The sequence below is a fragment of the Homo sapiens genome, chromosome 2 (genome assembly GCF_000001405.40).
Source record: "Homo sapiens chromosome 2, GRCh38.p14 Primary Assembly".
NCBI lineage: Eukaryota > Metazoa > Chordata > Mammalia > Primates > Hominidae > Homo > Homo sapiens.
Window position 1 is genome coordinate 133131696 of NC_000002.12, and position 13668 is coordinate 133145363.

General features: G+C 37.9%; 1 protein-coding gene across 19 annotated transcripts in view, besides 2 other annotated features; it reads right to left on the bottom strand.

The window, feature by feature from the left end:
• The window catches only part of NCKAP5 (NCK associated protein 5), a 1003049-nt gene that overhangs the window by 459908 nt on the left and 529473 nt on the right, over window positions 1-13668 (bottom strand). The gene's annotated exons all lie outside the window — the stretch shown is intronic.
• Window positions 7889-8403: an enhancer, noted in NCBI's record as "OCT4-NANOG hESC enhancer chr2:133897156-133897670 (GRCh37/hg19 assembly coordinates)". NCBI's record gives its function as "activates a minimal SCP1, AML or CMV promoter by ChIP-STARR-seq in primed H9 embryonic stem cells {active_cell/tissue: H9 hESC(primed)}" and the evidence as "EXISTENCE:reporter gene assay evidence [ECO:0000049][PMID:30033119]".
• Window positions 8404-8916: an enhancer, noted in NCBI's record as "OCT4-NANOG hESC enhancer chr2:133897671-133898183 (GRCh37/hg19 assembly coordinates)". NCBI's record gives its function as "activates a minimal SCP1, AML or CMV promoter by ChIP-STARR-seq in primed H9 embryonic stem cells {active_cell/tissue: H9 hESC(primed)}" and the evidence as "EXISTENCE:reporter gene assay evidence [ECO:0000049][PMID:30033119]".

The window sequence follows — 13668 nt, forward strand, 5'->3', positions numbered from 1 at the left end:
CACTTTGGAAAATGACATTCTGGAAGCGCTGGAAAGAAAGAAAAATGTGGTTGTGGAAGATAAATGGGTTAATTAAAGTTAACTCTTTACAAAAATGGTCAAAATTGCAAATTTCATGTTATATACATTTTACTATAATAAAATAAACTCTTTATGGTTATATACACAATTGACATTCCTCTTTTTATTGACTGATTAGACTAAAAGAAACATGGACAAGTCACCAATACTACAGAATTTGGAAGATAGTGCTTCGATTCCAGAAACAGGCCAAAAAAAAAATGTACGCTAAATAGTTCAAAAGTACATGCTACGAAGAATGTGAAGTTCACACCTGTAATCCCAGCACTTTGGGAGGCTGACACGGGTGGATCACGAGGTCAGGAGTTCAAGACCAGCCTGGCCAAGATGGTGAAACCCCGTCTCTACTAAAAATAAAAAAATTAGCCAGGTGTGTTGGCGGGTGCCTATAATGCCAGCTACTCGGGAGGCTGAGGCAGTGAATTGCTTGAACCCAGGAGGCGGAGGTTGCAGTGAGCCGAGATTACACCACTGCAATCCAGCATGGGTGACAGAGCGAGACTCCATCTCAAAAAAAAAAAAAAGAATGTAAAGTTTTGCAGAGAAAACAGCATCCCTCCTTCCTTCAAAAGCAAAGAATGCTCCATAGATTCACTCACTGCCATATCAAAGAGTCCCAAAAACATGATCATGAGAGAACCTTTTCCACATGAATAATCTTTTCTCTTCAATTTATTTATGCCTTTTAAAACATGAAAAAAAAAGCACACACACACACACACACACACACACACACACACAAACCCTGATAACACAGAGAAAATTCTAAGGAATTAAGACTATGAGGGCAAAAGCTTTTTACTAAAATATATTCCCTTCAAATGACGTGTATTTCTATTAATCCATCAAAACTTGACAATAATCCACACCTACTAAATATGAAAAATATTTGTACCCAATTTTTTTTTTTTTTTTTTGGAGGCAGAGTCTCTCTCTGTCACCCAGACTGGAGTGCAGTGGCGCGATCTCAGCTCACTGCAAGCTCCGCCTCCCAGGTTCACACTATTCTCCTGCCTCAGCCTCCAGAGTAGCTGGGACTACAGGCACCCGCAACCACGCCCGGCTAATTTTTTGTATTTTTAGTAGAGACAGGGTTTCTCGATGTTAGCCAGGATGGTCTTGATCTCCTGACCTTGTGATCTGCCCGCCTCAGCCTCCCAAAGTGCTGGGATTATAGGCGTTAGCCACCACGCCCAGCCTGTACCCAAATTTAAAAACAGGCTACACATAGAAAAAATATAGTATCAATAGATTGGCTATTTTTTTTCTGTATTCGCTATATTCTGGATATAAATTGATCTATCCCCAAAGTAATTTTAATTTGTCTCCCAAATGTTGGCTCTGGATCTTTCCCAGCAGAAAGTGTGAAAGGCAATGAGAGATGGAGAACAGTTGCTGTTATTTACACAACGCCACTAGGTACTGAAGAGCAATAAGTAGAGGACAATATCCTGGGAATCTGGGTTACAAATCTGACAGGACCACATTTCCACAGCAACAGCTCTCTTTCTGCAGAGCCACTGAGCTGGGATGGCTTGAAGACACCTGCCTAGGAGAGCCTCATGATGATTTTCAAAGCTCCTCAATCACCACCTTTCAATTCTTCCCATGTTCTTCGAGCAAGATGCTCCATGTTCGTCACCTCTTCCCTTTCTCTTTGGCTTCTCTTAGCAAAGATCTCAAATCGCTGCACCAGAACACAAGCAACAGCTCAAAGGCTGAGTCTAAGCAGTGACATTACATACATGTTCAACAAAACTTGCCAGTCACAGGCTCTTCTTTCCCTTTACAGAGGTGAGCTTTGTTATTAGTAAAAAGGTAGGTTTCCCTGTTTTTCTGAAGAAAAGCTGTGAGTGGGTTAACTTTCAACTCTGTTATTCGTTAGCTGCTGTCTCTAACTCCGAAATGAGCAAACTCTGCAAAAAATATCTTCAATCTGGAGAATATTTTACATTTTACAAAATGTGTCCACCTTCATTACTGTATTCAGTCTTCAGAACAATTCAGCAATAGTGGTTATTATCACCTCCATCTAAAGATAAGTGCAGAGGACTGAAAAGAGAGGCAGGAAGCTTGCTCTGTTTCCATGGTTAGAAATAGCAGCTCTGGAGCTAGAATTGAGTTTTTCTGACCCTAAGTCTCCCACTTTTTTCCCCTACTACTGTCAGCTCTGCTGTAACATTTCTTTTAAAAGTGCTAATTTGTTCCAATGCAACTGATATGTTGTGAAAAAATTTAAGCATGACACAAATCTTAGGTTTGCCGATTGCCTGATTTCATTCATGAGAAAAATTAGGTGAACACAGAAAACTCCACCCAGTTGAACTGCATCGAAACACACAAAACACATATTTCAAACAGACCTCAGTCCACTGTGTGCATTACGAGCCACAACCATCCACATGTGGTGTTTACAACTTCCCCTCCAATTTCAGACAGCGTTCCTTCCACCACTTCACAGTAACTTCTGAACTGCATCCCTGTTGATATCCACTTCCACAAAAAACTCTTTCAAGGTAAAGCACCATATTTATTGTAGTATTTATGTATTTTTTAACCACTGAACACATGGCTGCCAATTGTATTAGGTTCCTACCTTTTTGTTTTTAGTGTGTCACTGACAAAGTTTTGAGTATTTTTCCCATAGTCCTGTTTCCCCCAAAAGCTTTGTGGTTTTCACTGTGTGGTTTTACAGAGTGCAGTAATTTTCAGTAACACACATGTTATACCAGAGCTGACTGGACACCATGGTGGAGAAAAAGAAGTCCAAAACAAGAGTGGAATTCCAAAATACTTTTCCTATTTGGACATGAGCAAAGAGTTAAGTTCTAGACAAAGAATCAAACATACAAAGAGAAAGACAGGTATTTCCTCCATGGTTCTACAGAATGATCTTGTCTATACCTCATAGCCTACACATAGCAACAGAGCTCAAACTGAGCCATCCTCTGATTAAACCTCAAATGCAGGAGATTCCTCCATTTCCCTGGGTAATCTATGTTTCTGACCTTTTCTCCTGATAATTTTGTAAAACTTGCTTAAATCATTAAAGTATCAAAAGGTCCTTTCTACATGCATGTTCCAAGGAAATGAAGCAAAATCTATATAGATTCTGATAATTCTCTAATTTAATAGAGAACTGTGCGTGTAAAAGCAGCTATGTACCCCCAACATGGAGTCGTTTACTTACTTGGCCCACAAATGTTTACTGAGTAGCTGCTATGTGCCAAACACTGAACTAGAGATGGAAACCAACAATGAGTCAAATGGACATGGTTCCCGGCTTCGTTAGACTTACAGACTAATGGAGAGGGCTGGCGCTAAATAAACATCACACAGATAAATACGGCAGTATAAACTGATTGTTAATTAAGAGTATGCTGAAAGGTGAAAGTGACGGAAACTGATTTTGTTTGGTAGGTCAGGGAAAGGCCTCTGAGGAAGTAATATTGAAACTGAGACCTCTGTGATGACCAGGTGCTACCAGGCGAAGAGAGGGGACCAGCACTGCAGGCAGAGGGAGAGGCAAGTGCAAAGCCCTTTGTCGTGTAGGGAGGGAGGAAGAGAAGCCCAGTGTGGCTGGAAGCTGGTGAGCCAGGGGACAGGAGTGGCATAGGACGCAGGTGGAAAAGAATAAGGGATAGACCACGTAGGACCATGAACATGACATGACAGATTTGGGACTGTAGCCTGGGTAAAATGATGACTCATTACCAAGGGCTTAATCAAGTGAGGAAGATGATTTCAGATTTGGCAAAGTTCATTCTGACTACGGTATGGAGAAAGAACTAACAGGCTAAATTATAGAATGGGAAAACATTTATATAAATATTTAAATATTTAAAATAAATATAATAAATTAAATAATGCTACCAGCTTTTAGTTTGTACCACACCATTTACTAGAGAAGTGGTTTTGAACAAGCCACTTAACTTAAAACTTAACTGCTTTAAGCCAGTTTCCTCTGCATACTGGGGACGGTGAACTCATCCAAGCCAATTTCATAGTATCATTGTGAATAATAGATGAAATAATGTATGGTAAGGCACTTCAAAAACTCAAAAGTCCTATATAAAAATAAAATATGGCTAACTAAAATTGTACAGCTTATATTGTCTAATATACTTCAGCTACTTTTGATAAACTCTGTATAACATTTGTCTTTAATAACCATTACATATTAAAGATAATCATAGATATTTCAAAAAGTTCAAAAATGTGTGTCTAAGCAGATCATACATTAATCTTGAAAGAAAACACATTTTAAATATGATTTTGATGTAAGAATGGAGAGGATAACTTAATCACAAATGCCATCTAGAATATATATAACCCTGTGTTTGGCCTTCCCTAAAATACATTATTTTTTATTCTCATTTCCTAGTATGATTTCAAACAGATGGCTTGATGTATGGTATGAGAAAACTTCAGAATGAAATTAAAATATTAACACTTGATTCAAATATGGAAAGCCAATAAATACCTCTATTCTAGGTCTAATTATAGTTGGTGATTCTCATTATATCAGTGGGTGGTAATACTGCCAGAGTTAAAGACAATTCAAAAATATGAAAAAGAAAGAGGAATTTATTTGGCTTGGAAATTCTAGCACCACATTATGTGGCATATATTTGACGAAACATATCAGGCATAACAAGAGGCACGTCCCACATAGGCTCCAAGCCCTCCGTGAGTCCTGCCTCGTTGAGTGTCATGAGGTACCAGCTCATCTCAGGTGTCCTATGCTGGCTTGATGTCTGAAGATACATGATAATTGAGAAGTAATCGCTATATGTCTGTTTCAAAAGATTTCCTGAAATGTGTCCAAGTGATAATATTCGAATTGAGTCATACTTTATGACCAAAGAATCATGGGGAAAACATTAGTACTCTTGGATAATAAGAGGATCTTAAGGTAAGAAATGAATAGAGGCCATTAGAGAAGGACAAAGGGATTCAATGATATTCCTGTATATTGATAGAAAAACACATGAGCTCATTTGAGAAATGTGGAAACTGAGAAGCAAGCTACCAACTAGAAAACGTGCCCAGTCACAGGTATCTCCACGTATTCATCAACCAACATCCAATGTGCACTCAAACATCTTAAGAATTACACGGAGACCCAGAACAATCCTTTTAATTCTCTCCCTACCTATTGAGAATCTAAATTGACACCTGTGTTTTTTCTTCAGAAGTCCATAAGCCAAACACATCAGCAGAAAAATTAATGTCTTCATGAAAACTAGTTTTTAATGGGAAAACTCTATTAACCAACTCTGTCAAGCCAGTATGAAATGGATCTAAATTAAGCTATAGTTATTACATCTAATTGTAGCCTTGTTTTTGTTTTGCACACATATTGCAATACAGTTTCACCATAAAGCTCTCTGAATTCAATATCCCCATTAGTTATGAAAGATTTGGTCATCCTAGAAGCAGAGAAACAGATAAGGAACTTGAGGATTGATTTTTTAAAAACCCGTACTCTTGGCTGTAACAGAAGAATCAGAATCAGATTTTGAGATGCAAGGATAGAAACAGCCAAGTATATATCTGCAGTGCTGATAACATCACCCAAGAGAGACAAAGCTTTTATTCTAACTAAAAAAAGATGCAGAGCTTGGTTTTGTGTGTGTGTGTGTGTGTGTGTGTGTGTGTGTGTGTGTGTGTGTTTTGGAAAAGAAAGGAGAAAGGGTGAGATAAATAAATACAGAAGAGGAGAAGGGTGGGGTAGAGGGTAGAAATTTCAAGGGCAAGTAAGACAGATGGGCACTTGGATGGATCTTAAAAATGTCCTCAATGCTAGACAGGAGCTCTATAACAGAAATGGCACAGGTGAAGCACCCCATATGACTAAATTTTCTTAGACAAAGATTATATATGTCCTTATTATTTAGCAAAGGGATAGAGATGTGAACTTGATGAAAGGAGTTTTTCCAGGGTGGGTTGTGAAGAAAAGCAAGATAAAATGAAGGTGTTAGGAATACCGCTCAAAATCCTAAGGAAATTGAACACTCGAACAAAGGATTCTTAGCAAAGCAATTTTACTTCCGCGCAGAGGGGTGCCTCCTTGGCCAGTTGCCATGAGAACACACCTGAACAAAGGGGCAGGAGAGCCTTTATTCCTGACGCAAGTCCTGCCCCTGTACCCTTTCCCCATTGGCTGAGGTGGGGTCGTACAATCTAATCTTGGTTAGCTAAACATTTGATTTTTTTTAGATGGGGTAGGCACGTAAAAGAAAGTGGAGGGAAAGGGGAAGGGGTGTCTGTAATGAGCTAGAAAGTTAGTCCTCTTTCCAAATAAGGAAAGGAGTGTGAGCTGGTACTGATAGTGCTTGGTACTGTGGTGTGCATAGGCATCTATCAAAGGCAAAAAGGAAAAAAAGGAGAAAAAGAAGGGGGGGTACTATGAATTAAAGAATAAAAGATTGATTCGATTATTCGAAGAGAAACCTCATCATATCCCACAAAGGTCTGGCACGTGGAGATTGATATGCACTATAAAGTCATGGTGGAAAAAATTACAACAAATTTTGGGATCCTACCAAGAGAAAGTAAGTTGTTTACTGCATAGTCAATGGTTTTTATTATTTATCAACTAGGGCTACAAATGAATAATAAAATGGTAACACTGTATTTACAACAAAAAGTAATACAGTTTTGCTTTTAATATCATCCTACAGCAGAAAAAAAATAGGATGAAAATTTATATATTGATCAACTTCTCACATTTTTCATCAGTCTAAGTGTCATTTTCACATCATGATTCCTACAGTGGAGAAGGCATGAGGCTAACAGACTGGGCTAGAGTTTCTGTCTTCCCATTAACTTGATAAGTGACCTTGGGAAATATACTTACTGTCTCCGGACCTACTTCTAAACTGCTGTAGTAAGTTCTTATAATTTTATGTTGCCTTGGCCTCCATTTTAAATATAAGTTGGATTCTCTCATACCAGAAGAAGGGCTCAGTCATCCTTGGCAGAATTTCCAGTTCTACGCCTAACTCACACTCCTAGTTCCTCAATGTGTTCAATTCAGATATCTGCATTACACAGTTGCTCACTACGGGTCAGCTAGACACAGCCTGCTTGACTGGCCCTGCTGCTCCTACCCCCTGCATGAGCTGTGCAGATACGCCACAGTGACTAACCCTCAGTCACAGTGTGGCCACCTGGAACTCACACCTGTTGCTTTAAACTCACGAATTAACATTCCCCATAGGAAACCTGTTTGGACAACACCCTGGATGCCAGTAAAGGCATTGGCTCATGGATCTCTCTCTACATGTGCTCCTAGACCTCCATATGTGTGACCCTCAGGTGTATCACATACCCCGAGGGCCTGTAAACAAGAAAATCTGTATTTCCCTCTTGTGTCTCTTCTAATCATTGGAAGGTTCCCTCCATCTGGAAGATTCTAAATTAACACTAATGCTAAGGTCCCTTCCAACTCTCACATTCTATACAGCAATGAAATTAGCCACAACCATATCAGGAAAAGCATAAGCAATTACAAATAACATTAGTGGCATAAAGAGATTAAATGCAATGTCTACAAGTGGGGTGTGTGTGTATACACATATTTTGGGGGTTAGTGAAAGTATAAGTTTCACTTAATACTGATGAAAGTGACTGGCATCCTTGTTTTGGATAATTAGTGGGTGAAGATTTAAGAGGCAAAGGGCACAGTTTTTGGGTTAAAGAGAGCCAGGCAATGTTAAAACAATGATATTGCACATTACACAATTAGGAAGAGGAGTGATAAAATAGACACACCAAAGGCATTGGTTTTAATTTGATTCTGAAATGATTGGGAGTATCAGTAGATTTTGAGGAGAATGACAGAATCTAAATGATGTTTAATCTAAATCTAAAGGATGATAATTCTTCCTCAGAGTGGACTCTAGAGGTGAGATACTACCATAAAAGGAACAATTTCCTCACTGTCATTCATTAGCAATGGTTCCTTGGGTTGGAAAAGGCCTTTCCACAGGGTTTTCTACCTCACTGACTTTATGACTTCTATAAGCTTCTCAGAAAACTAATTCTTCTCAAGTCTTTGAATATCTGATGTTTACAGAGGCTGACCAAGGAAAGCAAGACATTGAGTAATAACCCAGGTAGGTAGTAAGCTTGTTATCAATAGTCAACTGCCTAATTCAGACTCTCTTTCCCTTACCCGAATCTTTTCCTTGAGTTTATTCAGTCAAAAGGCTCAATTCTCAGCTTGACTTAGAAAAGAGCTTTATTTACTCAACCAGTGGGTCCTTTCATAAAAAGTCAATGACTCATTCTTCTCCCCTGGTCACAGATCTTTCTTTGTTGTCATGTTAATTGATCACAATTAACAGTAGCTACTTATTATTCTATCCCCTTGAAGTTTTCAGAAGTTGATTTTATTAAATGCCTTCATACTTGACTGAAGTCTTAAACATTGTTTCCTTTTCTGTGGAGACAGTATATTCTATGCAAAGAAGACACAGCATTTCAGGTTTTTTGTTTTTGTTGTAGCAACTTTTGCTTCCAGTTCTGTACCCTGAACCACATGTGCACTTTCAGAATGGCTACAGATCTATGCCCCATTTTACCCCCAACTCTGTTCCTTTTCTGTCTGTACTCCACAACAATCGGTGAACAACAAGTGAATTCTCTGGCTAGTTTCATTTTCATTTCAAACTTTTGGTCCCTATGTTTCTCTCGTTGTTCTCTGTTATGGAGGATTCCAAGATTTTTCATCCTCCCATCTACGCTCTAGTCTTGAACTTCAGCTATATTTACTATGAAGGTTAACACCTGTTCTGCCTCAACTCTGATGTCTCTCTTACTTCACTGCCCGCCTAATTTATGGTTTATAAAACATACTTGTGCTCTTGCTTTATAACTTAGCTTTATACAGAATATATAATGCCACAGTCTTTGCTGTTTCACATACATATGACGTATTAATCATTATATAATGATATGTATAATATATATTATATATAAGTAAGCTTGTTAATATAATAAATTATATTAACATTAATAAAATGAATAACAAATTATATACAAAATAATATATTACTATATATTCAGTTTAATGTATATTATAACCAATAATATATTATTCCCTGTCTCTTCAAAGAGCACACTTTCCTTCAGGCAGGGATTAGGCCTCAAACACAGTCACAAAACCCCATAGAATATTAGCATATTGCTGAGCTTTCCAGAATGTTCAATACATACTTGTTAAGCTCCACATGAATCCTCTTGACCCCCCACGACCTTAGTGGGCAGCTAGCTCTAGGTTTATAAAGTTTCTCTCGGTAACAACTTTTAGTCTTAATCCTGACTGAGGATAATGTGATGAGATTTTCTCTGGTTTAGAAACTCCACAGATACATTTCTCTCTGTCATCTTCTTTCCCTTACCATTGCCTTCTCCCAACAGCCCAGGGATTGCAATCCCAACTTCATATTCACATCTCTTAACTGATGATTCACTTTCGCTCAATAACTATTAAGTCAAAAATTTAATTTCTGAGAAGATGTGCAGGAGTTTCCAAACAAAGCCATTTATAATTCTATTTTTAAGGATAGTACATTGTACCGTTCTTTTTGTTCGCCCTACTAGACTGTACAGAGTAGTGGAAAGGAAAAAAAAAAAACACAACTCTATTCAGACTAAGAATCCTTTTTATCCTGTAGCTGGAATCCTTATATTCCTTCCTTCAGTGAATGGGTATAATTATGTGTATTGGAAATTAGAGTATTCGCTATAATTATGCACTCTTTTAAAGTGGGAGAATAATTATAATGTCTACAACCAACTGTACAAGGTACTACTGAAGCTTTTGTTTTAAATCTGCCAGGGAGGACCTCAGTAATGATTAATTTCTTACAACTACTTTTTATTCATTTGGAGAACATACTAGGAATGCCTTCACACTTCCCGTTTCATTGTGGAAAGTTTCTTTAAACAAGAATATTTCTTTAAACGAAGACTTGAGAACAAGTGGGTTGGTTTTTACATAGCCAGCTTCCATTATTTCATCGTAGATTATATGAGAAACCTAAAAATTTTAAAACAGGACTTTTAGCAGCTTCCCTTATCCTTGTTAGCAAATGCAAACTTTTACATTTTATCATGCTGCTAAAAGGTCAGCTACAACATTTAAAAACTCAATGTGGAACTAATCACAAGCTTTGGTTCAATGCTTTAGTATTTTATTTCATACAATTACCAAAGTTAGAAGAAATTGAAAGCACCAAATATTAAAGAATTAGAGATTGTGTTATTTCTGGGAGGTAAGGTTAAACAGAAATATCATTTTTATGAGGAAATCATTAAAGACCTATAAATGAGCTGAGTGAGTGCAGTTAATCTACAGAAGGGGAAAACATATACTCTTAAAAGACAACCAGAGGGCCTCTTTTGAAAGTATATTTAACCCTTGGTTAACCACATCAGTCAAGGAGAACATCACAACAGACAATCTCACTTTCTCAATGATCGACACAGTCACCAGAGGAAGCAAATGGAAAACACAGTTTCACATGGTCTAAATACTACTCACAAAAGATAGGCCAGTGTGGCTACAATTACTACTATTAATAATAGAATACCTGCCTGGCCCGTTGTTGGGTATAGAAAAGCTCACAGAAGAAACGCTTACATCATGACTGCAGGTCTTTTGCATGCACTTTATGTGAGTGTCAGAAATTGTGTTCTCAGGTGCCCTTTTTGTAATCTCCTGGTCTCTCCCCAGTTTCCACTCCTGGCAATGTTTAGCCCTTTCTCGTTCAGAAGTGGTCTCTCCTGGAAGGCTTTGTCAGACTTGACTGAACACAGCAAGAGCTATTTTTCCACATGGACACATTAATATCTGCCCCTTTCTAGAGGTCTTATGATCAAAGGGAAATGAAAGTTTGCAGACCTGGAAGGGTGCTTGAGGTCACTAAGTCCAATTGAGGTCCTAAAAGATACCAATTTGTCCAGGGTGATCCAGCTTACCATAAGCCTTTGTCGCTGTGGACAGAGAAGATTCAAAGATCCTCCAAAATCTCCCTTTCCAGGCAGTCAACAATAGAGCAAATTTTCAAGACTTTGGCAGAGTTTTGCATTTGGACCAGTTAGATTTATATGTAAAACTTTCATATAAACTACTTTCCTCTGCAATATAGACCTTTTTATAAGCTCAAAATTAAACTGCTGCATGAAGATGGAAAAGTGATTTGGCAAGACCATAAAACATTTTCATCCTTTTTATATTAGTGTCTTGAAAGCCCTTCTAGAAAATTTTGCCTCCTTCTTCAGAAGACAACAATATTAAAAACGTGTTTTTTTTTTAACCAGGCCTTGAATGTTATGTACATTGCTCCACAAATGTACATTTTTATATAGGCTAAGACTCTATTTATGATCAAAGAATCAGATTCAACATGCACAAAGAAAATGGTTCCAATTAGTGAGAGTTACCTGCCATCTTAGTACCACTGTCAATCAGAACAGGTGTGTTATTACAAAAGTGTGCCATTACACAGGTTATAACTCATCCACGTGCAAATACCTACAACAGAGGCTCTCCACCTCTTAGGCCAGGAAGAACTGCAAAGCATCCACAAATTACAAACGGTTCAGTGTACTGAACATGATGTATTGACAGGTATTGAATAAATAAAAACACAACTGCTATAACACAGAAATCTGTGGCCTTATTTTTTATGGAAAAAGGATCCATGTCTTCATAAGATTGTGGCCACTGGCATTAAATCTGAACTACAGCTAGTGCCAGCAGCCCTACTGATGATACGTAAGACAGGGAAACATGTATGTACAATTAAAGTGCACCTCCTTATTCACAGAGAAGTCACAAAGTAATTCCAGGACAAATAAAGTGAAGGAAAATAAGAGAGAGAGAGAAAAAGAGAGACTCTTCCCAGCATCACAAATAAGAATGATAATGATGAACCCTGGCTGAGAGTTCTAAGCCCTTTTCACATAGCTGCCACTGAACCCTTGCAACAATACTAGACAGTTGGCACTATTCCCAACCAGATTTTTTTTTTTTAAGATTATGAGGCTAAGGCCACAGTAAGTAAATAGCAGAGCCAAGGTTTGAGCCCATGCAATCTGATTCCAGGAACCTAGGGCTTGACTGCCTCTCTTTACAGGTATGAAGGAGTTTCTTTCCTGGTCTAGTAAACTTTCATCGCAACCAGCAAACCAACTGATGCATTTAAGCCTCTCCCTTTCCAGGACCTTGTTAGAGATTGTAGGGTATAGAAGAGTTCCAAGAGATGGTCTGAAAAATAGAGAGACAGAGATGGTCTTTGCCATTAAAAATATTGTAATCTTGTTAGGCCAAGATTATCACACATTCAACAATTAGCTAGTAAAGTATGAATTATCTAGAGCAGGGGTTGGCAAGTTTTTCTATAAGGAACCAGAGGGCAAACATTTTAGGCTTGATGTGCCACACAGTCTCTGTTGTAATGACTCAATTCTGCTCTGGTAGCACGAAAGCAGGTATAGATAATACATAGACTAATGTGTGTGGATGTATTCCAAAAAAACTATTACAAAAATAGGTAGGGAGGGAAATAGCTCAGCCATAGTTTGTGGACTCCTAGTCAAGATTACCAGCTATAACAAAAAAATAATCAATTCTAATCATTCATTTTCCAGGAGGTGACATTCCCTTTCTCCAAAATGCATAAACTCCCTAGAAGCCATGGGGTTGCAGAACTGTCTTCTTACTGTTAAGAAACAAAAACAATTTGAAACCTCTTCCCCGAAACTTAATGAAACTGTAGCTACTGTCGAAAATGAAAAAATTAAGTGTGTGTTTTCTAGAAAGGATGAACTTTCAGCAGTGCTGAAAATCACGTAATATTTGTGCTTGTCAGTGTGCTAGAAACAAATCTTTTATCTATCCCTGTGTGATTACGTCTCTGTACAGAGGCACCTGCGTTGTGTTATACATAGAATTATATTTTACCCTTTGGTGTTGAACCATTAGCCAGTGTGTCTTCTTATTCTCAATTAGGAACAGAGTTCCTCCCACTGGAGGGAGAGCAGAGGCTCTGCAGTCACTCGCTGCCGTGTTAGTGTTGTTAGAGATTATACAAGTCACTTTAACTCAACAACTTACAAAGGGTCTACATTTTACGTCAAACTAATCTCAACATTAGATAATTTTGAATACTGGTCATAATATACATACAGGTAGATGATAATTTAGCCATACAGATTAACATTTTGTTCTTTTCTAACACTTTGAGAGCCTATGAGATTTAATGTTGACAGATGCTAACACCTTTAAATGCTTTTCTATTTTCTCAGATGCTGAAATAAAATTTTAATTTTATTATTTAAATACATTTAATTTATTAAAAACAAGTTGGAATATACAGTAAGGCTCTGTAGTGCATGGATTATACAGGTTGTAGCAGAAAAAAAAATCTATCTCCCTCTCTCTACCAAAAGTTTTATATTTACTATGTGCTATTTAATAAATAAGTTAATTTTCCAATGAGAACACATGGACACAGGAAGGGGAACATCACATACCGGGGCCTGTCGGGAAGTAGGGGTTAAGAGGAGGGA